The sequence below is a fragment of the Homo sapiens genome, chromosome 6, assembly GCF_000001405.40.
Source record: "Homo sapiens chromosome 6, GRCh38.p14 Primary Assembly".
NCBI classification, from domain to species: Eukaryota; Metazoa; Chordata; class Mammalia; order Primates; family Hominidae; genus Homo; species Homo sapiens.
Genome location: NC_000006.12, coordinates 160,575,270 through 160,598,149, shown reverse-complemented (window position 1 = coordinate 160,598,149; position 22,880 = coordinate 160,575,270). Strand labels below are relative to the sequence as shown.

The following is a 22,880-nucleotide window of genomic DNA, read 5'->3' as shown; positions in this document are numbered from 1 at the left end:
CTCACATAGTGCTCTGGAATATTGGAGTTTTGACCAGCTAGAGAGAAGAGACCTCATTGAAAATCTTGGGCATTCAGTAGAGACCTCAGAAAAGTCAGACTTTATGAGTAGACTTTGTATATTCCTAGAATAAAGGCAGCTCCAGAAAAAACCTAGCAAAGCTGAAAAGCAAATCTCCAAGCATTAAAATGGTGTCCTAGTCAATTAACTGCCTTCTAGAAGAAAACTCAACACTCTTTACAGGTGAACAACAAAGTTAAGTTGCTGAGCTATGCAATATCCACAGTGTGAGTCCTAAATTTATAACTTTACTACACATAAAAAAGCATTTAGTGTGAACCATAACCAGGAAAATAATCAGTCAATAAAAATAGAACCAGGAATGATAGAAATGATTTAAATGGCATGAGAATTTGACATATTAGTATCATAACTGCATTGCTGGATTTAAGAAAACATAAACATGGAACGTAACAGATATCATATCAAGGGAAAGTAAAAGGATAAAAGAGTCAAATCAAATTAAAGGACTATTAAAAGGTATATCTTAAATGAAAAATTCACTGGATGGTCTCCCAATCAGGTTAGTTGTTTCCAGGGAAAAAATTAACTGAAAAATAATTCAATAGAATCTACAGAAATAGCTGCACATATATACACACAATGGCACACGTGCACACACCCACACCCACACAGGTGTGAATCCTAGAGCCACACGAGCATTGAAACATAGAGAAGTAAAAATTGTTCATTGAGGAATATGTAGCAATGCTCAATGTGTTTTACCCTAATAAGAGCTTTTGTGATGTATGATTGAAAAACTGACACAACTGAAGAGAGAAATAGATAAGCCCACACTCTGAGTTAGAGATTTCCTTGATTCTCTCACTATGGTTATAAATCTTTCCCAAACACAACAGGCTAGAACAAATATGCAGAAAATTAGACATAGTATCTTTGTTCTCAATAAAAACGTCGACCTATTTAACATTATACCGAACTACCGAGTACACATTAAAGTGTGCATGGAGCATTCACTGAGGTGTACTCTACACATGACCTTCCAGCAAGTCTCCATAGATTTAAAAGAATTAAAGTCATACAGAGTGTGTCACTTTATTCTCCCAGAATAAAGTGAGATATGAATAATGAGAAGTTTGCCAGCTTCTCAAATATTTGGGAGTCATACGGTGCATTTCAAAATACTCTTTGGGACAAAGAAAACATCACTAAGGAATTTAGAAAAGTTTTGAACTGAGTAAGAATATAACACAATTTATCCAAACTTAGGAGATGCAGTGAATGTCTTTAGGCTTTTACATAATTTTAGATGCTCTTAGGGAAAAACAGAAGCATGTAATAATCAAGATTTCAAACTGCAATTCTCAAAGTGTAGTCTAGAGAAACCTGAGGACCTTTGAGTACCTTCAGAGACAGTCCATGAGGTTAAAGGACTTTGCTACGTGAAAAGTAAGATGCTATTGGCCCTTTTTACTTTCATTTTCCAACAAGAGAAGAGGGGAGTTTTCCAGCAGTTACATAATATGTAATGGCATCATGTCTCTGATGGCTAAGAAAATGGGCAATTGTTGACTTTGTGTGTTAAAAAAATTCTCAGTGTTGGTTTCTTATACTATAAATATTCATCTTGTGTTTTGAAAAAGAAAAGCTCTTTGGAATCCCCTATGAACAAAGACTTTGACAGTTGTTGATCTAAGACCACAGCTTAAATATCTACACAAGAAAAAAAAAAAAAGCAAATAAGAGCCAAGGAAAGCAGATGGAAGGAAGTAGTCCAAACCAGTGACATTCAGTGAACAAGAAAAGAGACCAACAAGGGAGTAAACTCTTGAAACAGAAAGTTGATTCTTTGAAAAGATCCATATGATTGAACACAGTCTGGCTAAACAAATGACAGACCAATGAGGGTGCACAACCATCACCATCTGGAGTAACAGAGGAGAGGTGCCATTACTATAGCATCTTCCAGTTCTGAAAGCTGAAAAGAAGATTTTGAGAACAATTGTATGTGAATAAATTCAGGAATGTTAATCATGTGGGCCAATTCCTGAGGAAGACAACAAATCAGCAAACCAGATGCTGAATAGTTAGTGTAGTCCTGTAGAGAGACATACAGAGAGGCTGACAGAGAAATATTTGTATGTGCATAAAACAATCTACAAGACACACTTCAAAATCAATCTCAGTTAATCTGGAGGAACATATTTCACAGAAGGTGGAAGGAGGGTATTCTGATCCTCTTGTACATTGTACAACATTGTACAATGTACAGAGTATAATTGTACAAGTACAATTGAAGTTGTACAAGTACAAGTGCAACTTGCACAATGTACAGAGTAAACATTGATGTTTACTCTCAATTTTCTTATGGAGCACAGATGACTTTGGATGTGTTACAATATGAATGATAATTTGTCTTTGAGATGTTCGCAGTTGTTTAGAAGTTGAGGACCATTTGTGCATATTATGGGACCTTTAGTGAAAATATTTCAAAGTCTCTTTTTACACTTTGTTACAGCAAAATGTAGAGGGCGCTAAGTGCCCTTGAATCTTCTCCCATCTCTGGTGACCTGTGTTGTTTTGAAATTTGCAGTGGCCTGACCAGGAACTACTGCAGGAATCCAGATGCTGAGATTCGCCCTTGGTGTTACACCATGGATCCCAGTGTCAGGTGGGAGTACTGCAACCTGACACAATGCCTGGTGACAGAATCAAGTGTCCTTGCAACTCTCACGGTGGTCCCAGATCCAAGCACAGAGGCTTCTTCTGAAGAAGGTAGGAAGTCTATGGCCAGACAACCACACCCTAGGACGTTGGGATGAAAAGAGTTGCAAAATCTTAGTGATATAGAAGCCTTCCATGCTCACACAATTCCAAGTAGAATGTGGACTCAGGGTCAGCCACTGGGAAGGAACACTCAGCGCCTTCTCTGGGAGAACCAGAGCTGTGATGTTTGGTACCCTGTGAAAGGGTGGTATCTATAGGAAGGGTGCAGACCCTCTAGGGCACTGGACTTACCACTCCCCTGGTTATTCAAAGGATCATTTTAGTGTCTTAGCCAGAAGAATATTCTAACATTTTGCCAAATTTGTGAAGATTTACCAAGCTCATGATAAGCCTTTCATGGTATTTCTTCAAGTAGTCAGTGTTCATTGCATCTTTGGCTTTGCGGTTTCGGAGGAATGCGGTTTTTGAGTCTGTCATCCTTGAGAAACCTAATATGACTTTTCTTAGTTCCATATACTTCTGGGTCCAGGTAGCAGTACATAGCCAACAAATGCTCCATCGTTCTGGCCTATCTCCATCTTAAGCCAGTCCTGCACAACTAGGCTTTGATGGGAGGGATCTCTCAGTGTTCTTGCCCCTCCTTCTCATGGAACATATATCTGTGTTGGTCTCTGAGAAGAAGAGTAGTGGATATCTACTTTGTTGCAATGCAGAATCCTGGGCCAAAGATACCAGCCATCCCTCCAAGGGAATAAAATTTTGGCCAGTAGCCCTCTCTGAGAGACAATTTGTCTTTGCCTACGAGTCCTAGATGCAGGACCGCTTCCTGCCCCATCTTCAAGAAGCTGAAGGCTTTGGCTTTGGAGGATCAGCAGTCTAGGGAAATGTGTGACGGTTTCATGTCTGTCCCCACTGACAGTCAATCACCACCTACAACCTGCACAGCCTGATGCATAGCAGTCTAGTTTCCTGCCTTATTCTCAGGAACACCCAGAAGATGTCTATATTAAAGAGCATGCACATGAGTGCAATTTTGACTGATAGGCACTCTGATCTTTCCTTTGGTGCCTGTGTTTTAAAGGAAATCTTTCTAAGAACTCGTTAAAGTTCTAGAATGCTATGAATCTTTGGGTTTTATTATTGGTATGTCCATCTGCCTGCTAGTACAGAACAGAGCATGGTAGTCTTTCTCAGAGACAATGATCCTGTTTCAGTCACAGATTTCTTCTGATGCTTCTGTGTTCTAGAAATTACTCAGCTTGATTTCTCCTCTTTGAATTTCAGCACCAACGGAGCAAAGCCCCGGGGTCCAGGATTGCTACCATGGTGATGGACAGAGTTATCGAGGCTCATTCTCTACCACTGTCACAGGAAGGACATGTCAGTCTTGGTCCTCTATGACACCACACTGGCATCAGAGGACAACAGAATATTATCCAAATGGGTACAACCTTGAGTTTTCTTCAAAGACAGACAGCAGCCCCCTTACATTTCTCTTGGAAGGGCCATGCTTCCAACTAACTTCTTATGACAAATTTATCTCAGATCTGGAATGTTGGGTAGAATGTCTCAGGCTTCTTTCTTCAGGCACAGTGTCTGAAAGGAGAGAAATGTCAGGCCAGCTCTCTTTTCTCATAGTTGACAGAAGCAGGAGGATATTTGAAGGTGGTGAGTTCTCATGAATAGAAAGCTCAGGACACATGGCCACGTGCTTAGAAATAGCACCATTCCACAATGCCCACTAAAGACCAATGCAATAGTTCAACCAGGGATTTCTGTCATTCTAATCTCCAAGTCCTGAAGTGAAGGTTGTATTAGCCATGTTCATCTTGGGCAACAAATAAAGGATATCTATGTTGACATCCAGATCTTCCAATCACTTTCTCCTCTAACCTGTACCTGGGTTCTGAGAACAAGGTATCTGAAGAGCTATGTGTTGCCAGCACATGAGGGGCAAAAGTAGGAAGGCAGCTGAGAGTCAGGAAGTATAAAGATTCTGAAGAGTTACACATGCAGGAAGATGGACAGAAACCCAGTTCAGACCACGTCAGCGTTTCTGCCATGAAGGACTATCAAATACATAGGAAAAGTGTTTTCATAGGTTGGACAACAGACATGACAGGCCTGAGAAAATTCAGAAAGGGAATCAAAGGAGATCAACCTTATCATGTCCCTGGCATCCTTCCTTGAGACCCTTGAAGGGCAAGCAGATGGAGCCCAGCTGACCACAGCAGTCTTGCTTAACTGAGGAGAGAGACTGGAGTTTGTGATGCCTCAGGCATCTGACGTATTCTAGGCTGGCTAAGAATGAGAGGGGATTTGTGGAGGAAAGGAGCTCCAAGAATACACACCGAAGTCTTCTCAAGGCTTTGGCTAAATACAAAGCTGCGTATGCACAAGGAGAGTTTTCACAAAGAAAGAACAATAAAGAAAAGCTACTGGGGAAAGAACAACTGCAAGGGAACAGTGAGCTCAATGGAGATGCTAGAGCTCACATAGCACTGGGGGATATTTGAGTTCTGACCACTCAGAGGAGAGACACCTCACTGAACATCTTGGGCATTCAGTAGAGGTCAAAGAAAGCCATAATTTGGGAGTAGGATCTTCGGATTCCTAGAAATAAGGTGACTCCAGAAACACTCCAGCAACCCTTCTTCCAAGCCAGTCTAAAAGGATCCAAATGATTTCCAAGTAAATTAACTGCCTTCCAGAAAAAAGTAAACTCAACCCTCCTTAGAGGTAAGGAACGAATACAAGTTTCTCAGTTATATGACATCCCCAGAGTGCAACTTGCATTTAAAAATTTACTAGACACAAAAGAAGTTTTCACTGTGATCCATAACTGGGAGAAAAATCACTCAACACAAATAGGCCCAGAAATAATAGAAATTATGGCATTGGCAAGAACATTTAAAATGCACCTCTGAGAACTGTGTTTCAGGAAAATGTCAGCAAAAGCTGACCATGAGAGAAATGAATGCATAATATCAGAAAAGAAAAGAATTGAAGAGCCAAATGGAAATTTAAAAACTGAGAAAAGTTATATCTGTAATGAGGAATTCACTGGATGGCCTTATAACCAGTTTAGATATTATGGTAGGAAAAGGTGAACGAGAAAATGATTCAATTAAAGCTAGACAAACCACAAGACAGACAGACAGACACAAATACACATACACACAATGACTGAACCAATTAATCAACAGAGCCTCAAGGACATCTAGGAAAACATCCACACATTTAATATATGTGTTAGGCAAGTCACAGAAAGAGAGGAAAAAGATAATGTGACAGAAGTTATACTTGAAGCCATGACGGCTGACAAATTTCCAAACATACAGAAAATGAGAAATTCATAGTCATGAAGCTCAATGACTCAGGTATAGATTTTTAAAGAGCAAAACTCTGATTTACTGGGGTACATCATAGTTAAATTGTCTGATTTCAAAGCTAAGAAGAAAAAAAGGGGGTTCCTATGAACAAACATTTTGACAGTTGATCTAAGACCACAGCTTAAATATCTAGGCAAGGAAAAGCAAATAAGACACAAGGAAAGGGGATGGATGGAAATAGTCCAAACCAATGACATTCAGTGAACAAGAAAATAGACCAACAAAGGAGTAAATCCATGAAACAGAAAGTTGGTTCTTTGAAAAGATTCATGTGATTGACCACAGTCTGGCTGAACAGATGACAGACCAAGGAGGGAGTACAACCATCACCATTTGAAGTAACAGGGGAGAGGAGCCATTGCTATACCATACTCCAGGTCTGAAAGCTGACAAGAAGATATCAAGAAAAACTGTATGTGAATAAATTCATGAATGTAGATCATGTGGATCAATTCCTTAGGTAAACAACAAATCAGCAAACCAGATACTGAATAGATTGGGTACTCCTATAGAAAGACATACAGATAGCCAGACAGAGAAACATTTGTACGTGCATAAAACAATCTACAAGACTCACTTCAAAATCTCTCAGTTAATCCAAAGTAACATATTTGGCAGAAGGTGGAAGGAGGGTATTCTGATCCTTTCTTGTACACATTGATGTTTTCTCTCGGTTTTCTTATGGAGTATAGACGAGTTTGGATGTGTTACAATAAGAATGATAATCTGTCTTTGAAATGTTCACAGTTGTTTAGAAGTTGAGGACGATTTGTGATTGTTACAGGACCTTTAGTGAGAATATTTCAAAGTCACTTTTTACCACTTTGTTACAACAAAATGTAGAGGATGTCTGGTGCCCTTGTATCTTCTCCCATCTCTGGTGAACTGTATTGTTTTGTAATTTGCAGTGGCCTGACCAGGAACTACTGCAGGAATCCAGATGCTGAGATTAGTCCTTGGTGTTATACCATGGATCCCAATGTCAGATGGGAGTACTGCAACCTGACACAATGTCCAGTGACAGAATCAAGTGTCCTTGCGACGTCCACGGCTGTTTCTGAACAAGGTAAGAAGTCTCTGGCCAGACAACCACACCCTTGGACGTTGGGATAAAAAGAGTTGCAAAATCTTAGTGATACAGAAGCCTTCCATGCTGCACGGGAATCTGAATGTGGACTCAGGGTCAGCCAATGGGAAGGAAGCCTCAGCGCCTTCTCTGGGGGAACCAGGGCTGAGATTTTTGGCACCCCGTGACAGGGTGGTGTCTTTAGGAAGCGTGCAGACCTTCTAGGGCACTGGATTTACCACTCCCCTGGTTATTCAATAGATTATTTCAGTGTCCTAGTGAAAATGGATATTCTAACATCCTGCCAAATTTGTGATGATTTACCAAGCTCATCATGAGCCTTTCCTGGTATTTCTTCAAGTAGACAGTACTCATTGCAAACTTCAGCTTTACAGTTTCAGAGGAATGTGGTTTTTGAGTCTGTCATCCTTGAGAAACCTGATATGACTTTACTTAGTTCCATATCCTCCTGGGTCTAGGTAACAGTACATAGCCAGCAAATGCTCTATCTCCCTGTCTACCTTAATCTTAGGCAGGTGCTGCACACCTAGGCTTTGATGGAAGGGATTTCTTAGTGTTCTTGCCCCTCCTTCTCATGGAACACGTATCTGTGTTGCTGTTTGTGAAGAAGAGTAGTGGATGTCTACTTTGTTGCAATGCAGGATCCTGGGCCCAAGATTTCCCGCCGTCCCTCCAAGGGAATAAAATTTTGGCCAGTACCCCTCTCTGAGAGACAATGTGTCTTTGCCTGGAAGTCCTAGATGGAGGACCACTTCCTGCCCCATCTTCCAGAAACTTAAGGCTTTGGCTTTGGAGGATCAGTGCTCTGGAGAAATGTGTGACGGTTTCATGTCTGCCCCCACTGACAACCACCACCTACAGCCTGCACCGCCTGATGCATGGCACTCTGGTCTCCTGCCTTGTTCTCAGGAACACCCAAAAGAGATCTTTGCCAAAGAACAGGCACATGAGTGCAATTTTGACTGATAGGCACTCTGATCTGTCCTTTGGTGCCCAGGTTTTAAAGAAAATCTTTCTAAAAACTCATTGAAGTTCCAGAATGCTATGAATCTTTGAGCTTTGTTATTGGCATGTCCATCTGCCTACTAATGTAGAACAGAGCATGGTCGTCATTTTCAGAGATGATGTCCTGTTTCTATCATGGATTTTTTTTCTCATGCTTCTGTGTTCTGGAAATTACTCAGTTTGTTTTCTCCTCTTTGAATTTCAGCACCAACGGAGCAAAGCCCCACAGTCCAGGACTGCTACCATGGTGATGGACAGAGTTATCGAGGCTCATTCTCCACCACTGTTACAGGAAGGACATGTCAGTCTTGGTCCTCTATGACACCACACTGGCATCAGAGAACCACAGAATACTACCCAAATGGGTATGTCTTTGAGTTTTCTCCCAAGAGAAACAGCCACCCACTTAAATTTCTCCTGGAAGAGCCATGCTTCCAGCTAACTTCTTATGACCCAATTTCTCTCAGACCCAGAATGTTGGACAGAATGTCTCAGGCTTCTTGCTTTGGGCACAGGGTCTGAGAGGAGAGAAATGTCAGGCCAGCTCTCTTTTCTCATAGTTGATAGAAGTAGGAGGATACTTGGAGGTGGTGAGGTCTCATGAATAGAAAGCTCAGAAGAACATATGACCATGTGCTTAGAAATAGCACCATTCCACAATGCCCACTAAAGACCAGTGAAATAGTTCAACCAGGGAATTCTGTCATTCTAATCTCCAAGCCCTGGAGTGAAGGTTGTGTTTGCCATGTTTGTCTTGGGTAACAAGTGAAGGATATCTATATTGACTTCGAGATCTTCCGATCACTTTCTCCTCTAACCTGTATAAACACATTGGGTTCTGAGAACAAGGTGTCTGAAAAGCTATGTGTTGCCAGCCCATGAGGGGCAAAAGGAGGAAGGCAGCTGAGAGTCAGGAAGTATAGAGATGCTGAAGAGTTACACATTCAGGAAGATGGACAGAAACCCATGTCTGGCTATGCCAGCCTTTCTGCCATGAAGGACTATCAAATACATGAGAAAACAGTTTTCACAGGTTGGACAACAGATATGGTAGGCTTGAGAGAACTGAGAAAGGGAATCAAAGGAGATCAACTTCATCATTAACCTGTCTTCCTTCCTGGACACAGTGTTGGATTGAAGGACAAGCAGATGGAGCCCAGCTGACCACAGCAGTCTTGCTTAACTGAGGAGAGAGACTGGAGTCTGCGATGCCTCAGGCAGCTGATGTGTTCTAGGCTGGCTAAGAATGAGAAGGGATTTGTGGAAGAAAGGAGCTCCAGGAATACACACAGAAGTCTCCTCAAGGCTTTGGCTAAATACAAAGCTGCGTATGCACAGGGAGAGTTTTCATAAAGAAAGAACAACAAAGAAAAGCTACTTGGGAAAGAACAACTGCAGGGGAACAGTAAGCTCAATGGAGATGCCAGAGCTCACATAGCACTGGGGGATATTTGAATTCTGACCACTCAGAGGAGAAACACCTCACTACATTTTGGGCATTCAGTAGAGACCAAAGAAAGCTGTATTTTGGGATTGGGATCATCTTATTCCTAGAATCAAGGTGACTCCAGAAAAACTCCAACAACCCTTCTTCCAAGCCAGTCTAAAAGGATCCAAATGATCTCCAAGTAAATTAACTGCATTCCACAAGAAAAAAAAAACTCAACCCCCCTTAGAGGCAAGGGACAAATACAAGTTGCTCAGTTATATGGCATTCCTATTGCGTTACTTCTATTTAAAAATTTAATAGAGACACAAGAAGCTTTCACTGTGATACATAACTGGGAGAAAAAATCACTCAACACAAACAGGCCCAGAAATTATAGAATTGATGACATTGGTGAGAACATTTAAAATGCACCTCTGAGAACTGTGTTTCAGGAAAATGTCAGCAAAAGCTGACCATGAGAGAAACAAAAGCAGAATAGCAAGAGAAAAGAAAAGAACCGGAGAGCCAAATGAAAATTAAAGAACTGAGAAAAGGTACATCTCTAATGAAGAACTCACTGGATGGCCTTATCATCACTTTAGACATTACGGTAGGAAAGGTGACCTAGAAAATAATTCAATAGGAGCTACACAAATCACAGGACAGACAGACAGACCAACAGACAGAAACACACACACACACACACACACACACACACACACACACACACACACACAAAGACTGAACCTATTAATCAACAGAGCCTCAAGGGCATCTAGGAAAAATCCACACATTTAATATATGTGTTAGGCAAGTCACAGAAGGAGAAGAAAAAGATATCATGACAGACATTATACTTGAAGCGATGATGGCTCGCAACACGCCAAATATACAGAAAACAAGAAACTCATAGTCAAGAAGCTAAATGACTCAGGTATAGAATTTTAAAGAGCAAAACTCTATGATTTACTGGGATATATCATAGTTAAGTTGCCTCAATTCAAAGCTAAAAAGAAAAAAAGGGGGTTCCTATGAACAACAGCTTTGACAGCTGTTGATCTAAGACCACAGCTTAAATATCTAGGCAAGGAAAAGCAAATAAGGCACAAGGAAAGAGGATGGAAGGAAATAGTCCAAACCAATGACATTCAGTGGAAAAGAAAATAGACCAACAAAGGAGTAAATCCATGAAACAGAAAGTTAGGTTCTTTGAAAAGTCTATATGATTGGCCAAAGTCTGGCTAAACAGATGACAGACCAAGGAGGGAGCATATCCATCACCATCATGAGTAACAGGAGAGAGATGCCATTGCTATAGCATCCTCCAGGTGTGAAAGCTGAGAAGTAGATATTGAGATCAACTGTATGTAAATAAATTCATGAATGTAGATCATGTGGATGGATTGCTTAGGTAAATAACAAATCAGCAAATCAAACACTGAATAGATCATGCAGTTTTATAGAGACTTACAGACAGCCTGACAGATAAACATTTGTATGTACGTGAAACAATCTCCAAGACACACTTCAAAATCCCTCTCGGTTAATCCAAAGGAATGTATTTGGCAGAAGGTAGAAGGAGGGTATTCTGATCCTTTCTGGTACACATTGATGTTTTCTCTCAGTTTTCTTATAAAGCATAGATTACTTTGAATGTGTTACAATAAGAATCATAAGCTGTCTTTGAAATGTTGACAGTTGTTTAGAAGTTGAGGACCATTTGTGAGTGTTATGGGACTTTAGTGAGAATATTTCAAATTTGCTTGTTTACACTTTGTTACAAGAAAACATAGAGGGTGCCAGGTGGTGCTGTATCTTCTCCAATCTCTGGTGACCTGTATTGTTTTGGAATTTGCAGTGGCCTGACCAGGAACTACTGCAGGAATCCAGATGCTGAGATTCGCCCTTGGTGTTATACCATGGATCCCAGTGTCAGATGGGAGTACTGCAACCTGACGCAATGTCCAGTGATGGAATCAACTCTCCTCACAACTCCCACGGTGGTCCCAGTTCCAAGCACAGAGCTTCCTTCTGAAGAAGGTAAGAAGCCTGCAGTCAGACAACCATACCCTCGGACATTGGGATAAAAAGATTTGCAAAATCTTTGTGATGCAGAAAACTTCCATGCTGCACAGGAAGTCGAAGGTGAAGTCATGGACAGCCAATGGGAAGGAAGCTTCAGTGCCTTCTCTGGGGGGACCAGAGCTGGGATGTTGAGTGCCTTGTGAGGGATGGTGTCTTTAAAAGGGGCACAGACCCTCTAGGACACTGGATTTATCACTTCCCTGTTATCAAACGAATCATATTAGTGTCCTAGCCAAGATGGATATTCTAACATCCTGCCAAACTTGTGAAGATATACCAAGCTCCTAAGCCTGTCCAGCCCTTTCTTCAAGTAGGCAGTGTTTATTGCAGTCTTCAGCTTTACCATTTTGAAGGAATGCCATTTTTGAGGCTGTTGTTCTTGAGAAACCTAACATGTCTTCATTAGATCCGTATTGTCCTGAGACTTTGAAGCAGTACATAGCCACCAAATTGTTTATCTCCCCAGCCTACCTTCATCTTGGGCATGCCTTCCACACCTAGGATTTGAGGGAAGGGATTTCTCAGTGTTCTCATCCCTGCTTCTCATGGAACATTTATCTCCGTTGTTTTTTGAGAAGAAGAGTAGTGGATGTCAGCTTTCTTGTAATGAGGGATCCTGGGCCCAAGATTCCCTGTCTCCCCTCCTAGGCTATAAAATTTTGGCCTGTACTCCTTCTCCCTGAGAGGCAATGTGTCTTTACCTACAAGTCCTAGATGCAAGATCCTTTTCTGCCCCACACCCCAGAATCTGAAGGCTTTTGCTTTGGAGGAGCAGTGGTCTAGTGTGCAAGGGTTTCATGTATACCCCCCACTAACAGCCAATCACCACCTATAGCCTGAACAGCTTGATGCATGGCACCCTGGTCTCCTGCCTTGTTCTCATGAACACCCAGAAGAGGTGTAAGCAAAAGACCATTCACATGAGTGTAATTTTGAAGTATAGGCACTCTGATCTGTTTTTTGTTTGTTTCTTTGTTTGTTTGTTTTCCAGGGTTGAATTAAAATATTTATGACTACTTATTAAATTTCTAGAATCCTATAAGTCTATTTGTATTTTTATTCTACATTTCAATTTGCATGCTAATATAGAAGAGTGTAAATTGTTAATCCTCAGATTATTCCACTTTGTGTGTCATAATTTTTTTCACATTTCCCTTTTCTAGGCAATACTGAGCTTGATTTTCTCTTTTAATTTCAGCACCAACTGAAAACAGCACTGGGGTCCAGGACTGCTACCGAGGTGATGGACAGAGTTATCGAGGCACACTCTCCACCACTATCACAGGAAGAACATGTCAGTCTTGGTCGTCTATGACACCACATTGGCATCGGAGGATCCCATTATACTATCCAAATGCGTATGTCTATCATGTTAGCCATAAAAGGAACAATAGTCAACTAAAATTTCTCTTAGCTGGCCCATGCTACAAGCTCACTTCCTAGGTCCAAATTTCTCATAGACTCAGAGTTTGTAGCAAAATGTCTCAGGAAACTTACTTTTGAGCAAAAGGTCTGAATGAAGAGAAGTTTTAGGATTGCTATCTTTCATAACAATTTGATGGAAGCAGCAGGATATATGGAGGTGGTGAAGTCTCATTAATGTAAAGCTAAGGAGATCAAATGACCAAATGCTGAGACAAAGTATCATTCCACAATGCCCACTAAAGGTCCATGCAGTCTTTCAACCATGCAATTCTATCATTCTATCCTCCATTCCCTGAAGTGAAATTTGTGTTTGCCATTTTTGACACGAATCAGAAGTAACAAATTCAGGCTGGGTGCAGTGGCTCAGGCCTGTGATCCCAACACTTTGGGAGGACAAGACGGGCAGATCACCAGAGGTCAGGAGTTCAAGACCAGCCTGGCTAACATGGCAAAACCCCATCTCTACGAAAAATTAAAAAATTAGCCGGTCATGGTGGTGGGTACCTGTAATTCCAACTACTTGGGAGGCTGAGGCAGGAGAAACACTTGAGCCTGGGATTCAGAGTTTGCTGTGAGCCGAGAACATGCCACTGCACTCCAGCCTGGGTGACAGAGCAAGACTCAATCTCAAAAAAAAAAAAAAAGAAGAAGAAGAAGAAAAGAAGAAGAGGAAGAAGAAGAAGAGGAAGAAGAAGAAGAAGAAGAAGAGGAAGAGGAAGAGGAGGAGGAGGAGGAGGAGGAAGAAGAAGAAGAAGAAGAAGAAGAAGAAGAAGAAGAAGAAGAAGAAGAAGAAGAAGAAGAAGAAGAAAATAGAAATGAGTGCATATATTTATATATGAGTACTAGCCTGTATGAACACACTGGGTTCTAAGCACCAGTTTTCTGAAGGGATATGGGTTGTCAGGCAGAGTAAAAGCAGGAATGCAGATGAGAGTCAGGAAGTAAACAGATGTGGTGATTAAAATGGGCAGGTACATGGACAAAAAAATGCATGTCTGACAAAAACTGGCCTCTTGCCATAAGTGAGTATGAATAATATGGAAAAACTGTTTGCACATGTTGAACAGCAGACAGTACAACCTGAGATAGTTTAGAAAGGGAAACAAATAAGATCAACCCCATAATTACCCTTCCTAGACTTAAGGGCAAAGAGTTTTAACCAAAGCATTCCACAGCAGTCTTGCTAAACTGGGGAGAGAGACTGGAGTTTTGTTTACTAATAAAACCGAGATTTTCTAGGTTAGGTAATAATGAGAAAGTATTTGTGGAGAAAAGGAGCTCCAGGAATACACACAGAAGTCTCTTCAAGTCTCTGGCTGAACAGAAAGCTGTGTATGCACAGAAAGAGTTTCCAGAGAGAAAGGAGAACAAAGAACAGCTACTGGGGAAAGAACAACTGCTGGGGAACAGTGAGCTCAATGAAGATGCCAGAGCTCACATAGCACTGGGAGGTATTTGAGCTCTGACCAGCCTGAGGAGAGACACTTCATTGAACATCTTGGGCATTCAGCAAAGACCCCAAAAAACCATACTTCAGGAGTAGAATTAATGCATTCCTAGAATAAAGTCTACTCCAGAAACACCCTAGAAAAGCTTAGAAACCAAGTCTAAAAAGATCCAAATGATCTCCAAGTAAATTAATTGCCTGTCAGAAGAAAACAACCTCTTCAGAGGTAAACAACAAAATTAAATTGCTCAATTATATAGTATGCACAATGTGTGGCATACATTTAAAAATTTGCTAAACATACAAAAAGCATTTAGTGTGACCCATAACCAGGAGAAAAATCAGTCAATACAAATAGACCCAAAAATGATAAAAATAACAGAATTGGCAAGGAGATTTAAAATGTATGTATCATAATTGTGTTCAAGGATTTAAAGAAAGCGTGGACAAGAAATAAATAAATGGATAATATCAACAGAAAGAAAAATTGTAAAAGGACCAAATGGAGAGTCAAGAACTGAAAAAAAAGACATCTCTTTAATGAGAAAATCACTACATGGCCTTATAATCATATTAGATAGTACAGATGATAAAGCTAACTAGAAAATATTAGGGTGGTGCAAACCATAGCACGCTTATACAAAGCCTGAGAAGATAAACAGAGCCTCAAGGACATCTATGAAAATATCAAAATATTTAATATTTGTTTAAAGCAAGTCACAGAGGAAGGGAAAGAGATATTGGAACAGAAAAAATACTTGAAGCAGTGATGGCTGATGACTTTCTAAATATGGAAAAAATGATAAACTCACATAGTCAAGAAGCTCAATGGATCAGATATAGGATTTTAAAAAGTAAAGCTGTATGATTTATTTGGACACATCATAATTAAATTGTCCATAATCAAAGATAGAAAGTAAAATCTTATTTGAAGCCCAAGGGAAAAAACATACCTTTACATAGAGTAACAGTGACACAAATGACTGATGCCTTCTCATCAGAAACAACACAAATCAGAAACAATAGAATAACACCTTTAGAGTGGTAAGAAGAAAAAAAGATCAAATCAGAAACAACAAAATAACACGTTTAGAGTGGTAAGGAGGAAAACAAGATCAAATCAGAAACAATGGAATAACACCTTTAGAGTGTAAGAAAGAAAAAAAGATCAAATCAGGAACAACAGAATAACGCCTTCAGAGTGGTAAGAAGGAAAACAAGATAAAATCAGAAACAATGAAATAACACCTTTAGAGTAGTAAGAAGAAGAAAAGATCAGGTCAGAAAAAATGGAATAATATGCTAAGAAGAAAAAAAAAGATCAAGTCAGAAACAATGGAATAACACCTTTAGAGTGAAAAGAAGGAAAAAAACCCAGCAAGCTTAAACGCTATGCACAGCAAACAATTCCACTGAAAATGAATGTTACGTAAGTACATATTCTGTCCTCCTAAAAACAAAGAACAAATAAAAGAATGTTTCATCAGCAGGATTATGTAATAAAAGATGTGAAAGAATGCTATGTAAGTAGAAGAAAAATAATACCATATGGGAATTGGCATCAAAACCACAAAATACTATCAAAACAAAAAAACTTTATTGATAAATTTAACACAATATGCAAAAGAACTATACCATGTATACTACATAACATTGGTGAGAAGAAAATTAGAAGATCTAAATAAAGACACATCATGCTTATAGATTAAAAAATCCAATGTCACTTTTCACAAAACTGATCTTTAGTTTCAACCCACACCCAAGCAGAATTCCTGCAGTCTTTTCTTGAAAACCTAACAGAATGTATATGCTAGAATCACCAAGACAATCTTTAAAAAGAATAAAAAACTTGGAATAAAATCACAAGTTTGTGGGATAGATGCATATGGTAATATGGAAATTCTCATAAAGACACAGTAATCAAGACATGTGGTATTGGCTGGGACGCTTGGCTGTAATCCTAACACTTTGGGAGGCCAAGATGAGAGGATTGCCTGAGATGAGGAGTTGCAGACAAGCCTGGGCAACATAGCAAGACCCTCATCTCTACAAATATTTAAAAAAATTAGCCAGGTTTGGTGCCATGTGCCTGTAGTCCCAGCTATTCAGGAAGCTGAGGTGGGAGGATCACTGGAGCCCATGAGGTGGAGGCTGAAATGAGCCATGATTGTGCTACTGAACTTTAGCCTGGGAGACAGATTAAAACCTTCCCTCTCTCTCTCAAACAAACAAACAAAAAATACATAGTATTGGGCAAAACATATGCAAACAAAAACAGAAAAGGGTCAGCATAAATTTACATATATGGTCAATTTATTTTCAATACAGGTAGCAAAGCAATTTAATGAGGAAATTTTTTTCCAAAATTGGTCTGAAACAACTGGATAGCCATAGAAAAAAACTATAACAAATGTGACGCTTGAATCCTACTGTATGACTCAAATTAAATTAATTTGAGATAGCTCTTAGACCTCAATGTAACAGCTAATTCTGAGGCTGAAATATAAGACTGCTATGAAAAAGTATAGTATCTTATAACCTTGGAGAAGGAAAAATTTTTTGAGGGAAGAACCAGAAAACACTAACTGTAAAAGAAAACAAATGATAATGTGGACATTCATTGAATAAAAACTTATGCTCACCAAATATGACTGTTAAGAAAATAAATAAGTAAGTAACACACTGGAAGAAAAACACTCTCATCCATATATCTGACAAATGGCCTGTATCCAGAGTATAGAAACATTTCTCCCACTCACTAATCAGAGGACAAACAACCTAATCAAAATGGGCAACAGGCTTGAATAGTCATTTCTTAGGAGAAGATGCACACAGAGCCAACAATCACCTGAAAAAGTGCACAACATCTTAGCCATCAAAAATCAAGAGTTATAACCCTCATAAGATGACACTGAACATCCAGTGTACATGGATATCATTAAGAAGACACAATAATAAGTGGTGTCACCGATTTGGAGCTAGAATGTGCCACTCTCTCATATGCTGGTGGAAGTTCAAAATCATACAACAAATTAAAAAATCAGTCTGATGCTTTCTTATAAAGTTCGATAAATATGCATCTATCCTACAAACCTGTAATTCTATTCTTGAATATTTACCCCCCAAAATGAAAACATAAGTCCACAAAAATCTATATAAATATTCATAGCAGCTTTATGTTTTATAAACTCAAAATAAAAACTATTTCAATGTTTTCATCAAAAGAAAATGAAAACTATTTAAATGGTTTCATCAAAAGAAAATGAAAAAAGAATTTCCAGTATATTTATACAAAGGAATACTATTCATCAACAAGGAACAAGTTACTGATAGTCTCAGAAGCATGAACAAACCTCAAAAATATATTAAGGAAAGAAGCCAGACGTCAAAGTGTATAGTCTGTATGAGTCCATTCATGTGAGTTTATAGAAAACACAATTTATGGTGAAAGAAACCAATAGCATTTGACACTGGCCGTGGGAAGAGGGTAGCAGAGATTGATTGAGCAGCCACACAAGGGAGTTTCTGGGGTGGTGAAAATGTTCTGCATTGTGAGGGCAGTGTGGGCTACACAAGTATATGTATTTATCAAATCTCATCCAGCTACATTTAAGATCTGTGCATCTCACTCTATGTGAAAATATACTCAACTGAAAAACAGAGCAGGTATCTGTTTCAGGTGCTACATCACTTGATACGTCCAGTTGTGTTAAAAACCACTGCCTAACATCCTCAAATGGGGGATCTGGGCTTGAGACTAGGTCACATGTGTAGAGTCTCTACAGAGACCGTGTTGGATTCCCATGCTCCATAATACGTTCCAAGTTTTCTCAGACAGCCACAGGTCATGAATGTGAGGATTCTGAGAGGTTGGAGCAACGTTCTTGGGAGGCATAATGGGGAAGGCATTCTCCAAGATTCCTCCAGCCTGGGGTCTTCACCTGCTGTGCCTCTTACTGCATTGTTTTCTGACTCATCCATAGCCACTTGACCCCTTCAGATCCCATAGTCTACCTAGCCGTCTCCCTTTATGCCTTGGGTCCCGCTGTTCTTTCAACTCATCACCCATTCCTTCAGTCCCAGAGTGGCTGCAGCCAGCAGAGGATGGACTGAGAGCAGGAGAGGAGGTCGTGCCCATGAACCCATCCTAGAGAAGCAGCATCCTGCCTGGGAGCTAGTTTTCCAGGGAAGCTTTTATAAGTCCTGTAGACCCAAACCCACTTGCTCTACCAGATACAGTATTTATAGTAATACTATTTTCATGATTATTTTATATTGCAAATGTAGAGCATTTATGCTACACTATGAGTAAATAGAGTAAGGGGGCTGGCATGGGAATTATATAATCTTGGATGCCACTTCTTCCTTGGGGAAATGTATTTGAGTTCCAACTTACATATTACTATATAGTCTTATAGAGAGAGAGACAAAGAGCTAGACAGACAGAGATATCTTTGTATGTGCATTAAAAAATCTAAGATACATATTTCAAAATCTGTGTCATTTATTCTGGAGGAAAGTATTTGGCAGAAGGTGAAAGGAAGATATTCTGATCCTTTCTTGTACAGACATGTATTATCTCAGTTTTCATAGAGAGCATATACTACTTTTGATGTTTTAAAACAAAAATTATAATCTGTGATGTGTCCACAGTTGTTTAAAAGTTGAAGCTGAAGACCATTTGTGCTTGTGGCAATATTATTGTGGTATAATGGGAATATTTCAAAGGCACTTGTTAACACTTTGTTACAGCAAAATGTAGAGGGCGCTAAGTGCCCTTGAATATTCTCCCATCTCTGGTGACCTGTGTTGTTTTGAAATTTGCAGTGGCCTGACCAGGAACTACTGCAGGAATCCAGATGCTGAGATTCGCCCTTGGTGTTACACCATGGATCCCAGTGTCAGGTGGGAGTACTGCAACCTGACACGATGTCCAGTGACAGAATCGAGTGTCCTCACAACTCCCACAGTGGCCCCGGTTCCAAGCACAGAGGCTCCTTCTGAACAAGGTAAGAAATTTGTGGTTAGACATCTATATACTGGGATGAAAAACCATGGAAAATCTTACTGATGCAGAAGCCTTCAGTGGTACACTGGAGGGTTGGTTGAGGGTCTGCAATGTGGAGGAAAGCCTCAGCGCCCTCTCTGGGGGATCCAGAACTGTGATTTTTGGCACGCTGTGAGGAGGCAGTGTCTTTAGGAAGGGCACGGTGTCTTTAGGAAGGGCACAGACCCGCCAGGGCACTGGACTTACCACTCCCCTGGTTATTAAATGGGTCATTTCAGTGTCCTAGCCAAAATGGATATTCTAACAGCCTGCCAAATATGTGAAGATTTCCAAGCCAATAAGCCTTTCCAGTGATTTAAAGTAGACTTTTTTCATTGCAATCTACAGTTTGCAGTTTCTTAAGAACATGGCCTTTGAGTATGATATCCTAGAGAAACCTAAGGAGACTGCATTATTTTTCTATTGTCCTGGGGCTGCATAGCAGGAGGTAACCAACGAATGCTGTCTCTCCCTGGCCTATCTCAGTCTTTCACAGGCTCTGTTCACCTCAGCTTTGAAGTTAGAAATTTCTAGGTGTTCTTGCCTCTTCTTCTCATGAAACCTGCATTGGCAGTGAGTCTACAGAAGAAGAGGAAGAGAATTCTGCTTTGTTACAATTCAGGACTCTGGGCACTAGAAGATTCCCTATCTCTCCTCCAAGGGAATAAGTTGTTTGTCTCTAACCCTCCTTGAGAAACAATGAGTCTTTGCCTGCACTCCTAAATGTAGGATGATTTCCTGCCCAAATTTTCAAAAGATTAAGCCTTTTGCCTTGGTATGAGCAATGGTCTAGGGAAATGCGCAAGGGTCTTGTGTCGGCCCCTGACTGACCACCAGTCACCTCCTACAGCCTGCACCAAGGAATGCATTGCATTCTGGTCTTCTGCCCTGTGGTTCTCATGAAAACCAGCAGAGATTCATATGATGGAGCTGCACATGAATGTAATTTCCAATGTCCAGCATTCTCCTCTGTTCTTTATCTTTAGATTTAAAAATAATGTTTCTATGAACTTATTAAAATTCTAGAATACTATGAATCTACTGGGTCTTTTCACATCCTTTTGCTACTAGTAGAAAAAAGAATAGTAATAATTTTCAGAGGCTACTGTCCAGTATGTGACATAAATTGTCTCCCATGTTTCTCTGCTCATGCAATTACTGAGTATGATTTATTTTATTTTAATTTCAGCACCACCTGAGAAAAGCCCTGTGGTCCAGGATTGCTACCATGGTGATGGACGGAGTTATCGAGGCATATCCTCCACCACTGTCACAGGAAGGACCTGTCAATCTTGGTCATCTATGATACCACACTGGCATCAGAGGACCCCAGAAAACTACCCAAATGCGTATGTATTTGATTAAAACCATAAGAGGAGCAACAGCCAACTCAAATATTGGTTAGAAGACCCATGCTTTAAGCTCACTTCCTAGGGACAAATTTCTCTTAGACTCACATTTTGGCAAAATGTCTCAGGACCTTTGCTTTTGAGCAAAGAGTCTAAGAGAAGAGAAATTTTAGGCCTGCTATTTTTCCTAATAGTTTTATGGAAGGAGTAGAATATACGGAAGTGGCGAAGTCATATTAATGTAAAGCTCAGAAGATAAATGACCAAAGCTTAAACACAGCACCATTCCACAATGCCCACTAAAAATCAATGTCATCTTTCACTCGTGCAATTCTGTCATTCTAAATTTCAATTCCCGAAGGTTTGTTTGCCATTTTTGTCATGGGTAATAAGTAAAAAAAAAAAAATTAAGATGTGTATATATATATATATATATATATATATACACACACACACACACACACAAACATCTGAATATTTATATATATGTCTGAATATTTATATACTTGTGTATAAAACTTATATTTAAATTTTTGCATAAATTTATATATTTTTAATATTTCATTAAAAATTATATTGTTTCACTATGTATGTCTGAGTATTTTTATATATTTTAATATAACATTTTAAATATTTATATATAAATATTCAGGTATGTAACTGAATATTCATTTACACACACAAATATATGTGTGCATGTGTGTATATATATATATACCCATATATATATATATATATATATATACATATATATATATATATATATATGTATATATATATATATATATATATATACACACACACACACACACACATACATACAGGTATAAACACACTGGGCCTGAAGCACCAGTGGTCTGAAAGGACATGTGTTGCCAGGACTTGAAGAGCAAAAGCAGGAAGGCGGATGAGAGTCAGGAGGTACACAAACGCTGAAAAGTAAAATGGACAAGTACATGGACAAAAAGCAGGTATAAGCATAACAGCCTTTTGGAAGTAAATGACTATAAAATATATGAAAATACTGTTTTCACAAGTTGCACAACAGATAGTAGTGTATTGAGATAATTTAGAACAGAAAACAAATGTGATCAACCCCATAAGTGTGCTGTATTTCATCATGGATTGAAGGAAAAAGAGATGGAGCCCAAGAAGACCACAGCAGTCTTGATGAACTGAGAGACACCAGAGTTTGGGATTACAAAGGCAGCTGGGATTTTCTACACTTGGTAATAATGAGAAAGAATTTGTGGAGATAAAGAGCTACAGTCATGTACCTAGAAGTCACCTCAGTGTAATATAAATCTGCATATGCACAGGGAGTGATTCCACAATGAAAGTAGGACAAAGAACAGCTACTGGGGAAAGAATAACTACAAGGGAACAATGAGTTCAATGGAGATGGCAGAGCTCACAAAGCACTGGGGGATATTTGAGTTCTTACCAGCTAGAAAAGAGACCTCATTGCAAATCTTGGGCATTCAGTAGAGACCCCAGAAAAGCCACTCTTTGGAAACAGAGTTGATGTATTTTAAGAGCAAAATCTACTCCACAAAAATCCTAGCAAAATTGAAAAGCAAGTCAGAAAGACCAAAATCCTCTCAACATAAATTAGTTGCCCATCAGAAGAAAGCTTAACCTCTTCATAGGTAAACAATAAAATCAAATTGCTCAGTTATCTGGCATCCACAATATGTGACATAAATTTAAAAATTTACTAGACATACAAGAAGCATTTAGTGTGATCCATAACCAGGAGAAAAATCATTCAATACAAATAGACCCAGAAATGACAGAAATGATAGAATTAGCAAAAACATTTAAAATATACATATGATCATTTGATCTTGTGATCAGATATCACAA

At 39.5% G+C, this 22,880-nt stretch overlaps 1 protein-coding gene across 1 annotated transcript in view; it reads left to right on the top strand.

Moving 5' to 3' along the window:
* The window catches only part of LPA (lipoprotein(a)), a 132,794-nt gene that overhangs the window by 66,126 nt on the left and 43,788 nt on the right, over positions 1–22,880 (top strand). Inside the window, exons 21-28 of the mRNA NM_005577.4 lie at positions 2,615–2,796; positions 4,033–4,192; positions 7,049–7,206; positions 8,438–8,597; positions 11,520–11,701; positions 12,945–13,104; positions 19,446–19,627; positions 20,855–21,014. Coding sequence (NP_005568.2) covers positions 2,615–2,796; positions 4,033–4,192; positions 7,049–7,206; positions 8,438–8,597; positions 11,520–11,701; positions 12,945–13,104; positions 19,446–19,627; positions 20,855–21,014 — 1,344 coding nt within the window. The remainder of the gene's footprint in view (positions 1–2,614; positions 2,797–4,032; positions 4,193–7,048; positions 7,207–8,437; positions 8,598–11,519; positions 11,702–12,944; positions 13,105–19,445; positions 19,628–20,854; positions 21,015–22,880) is intronic.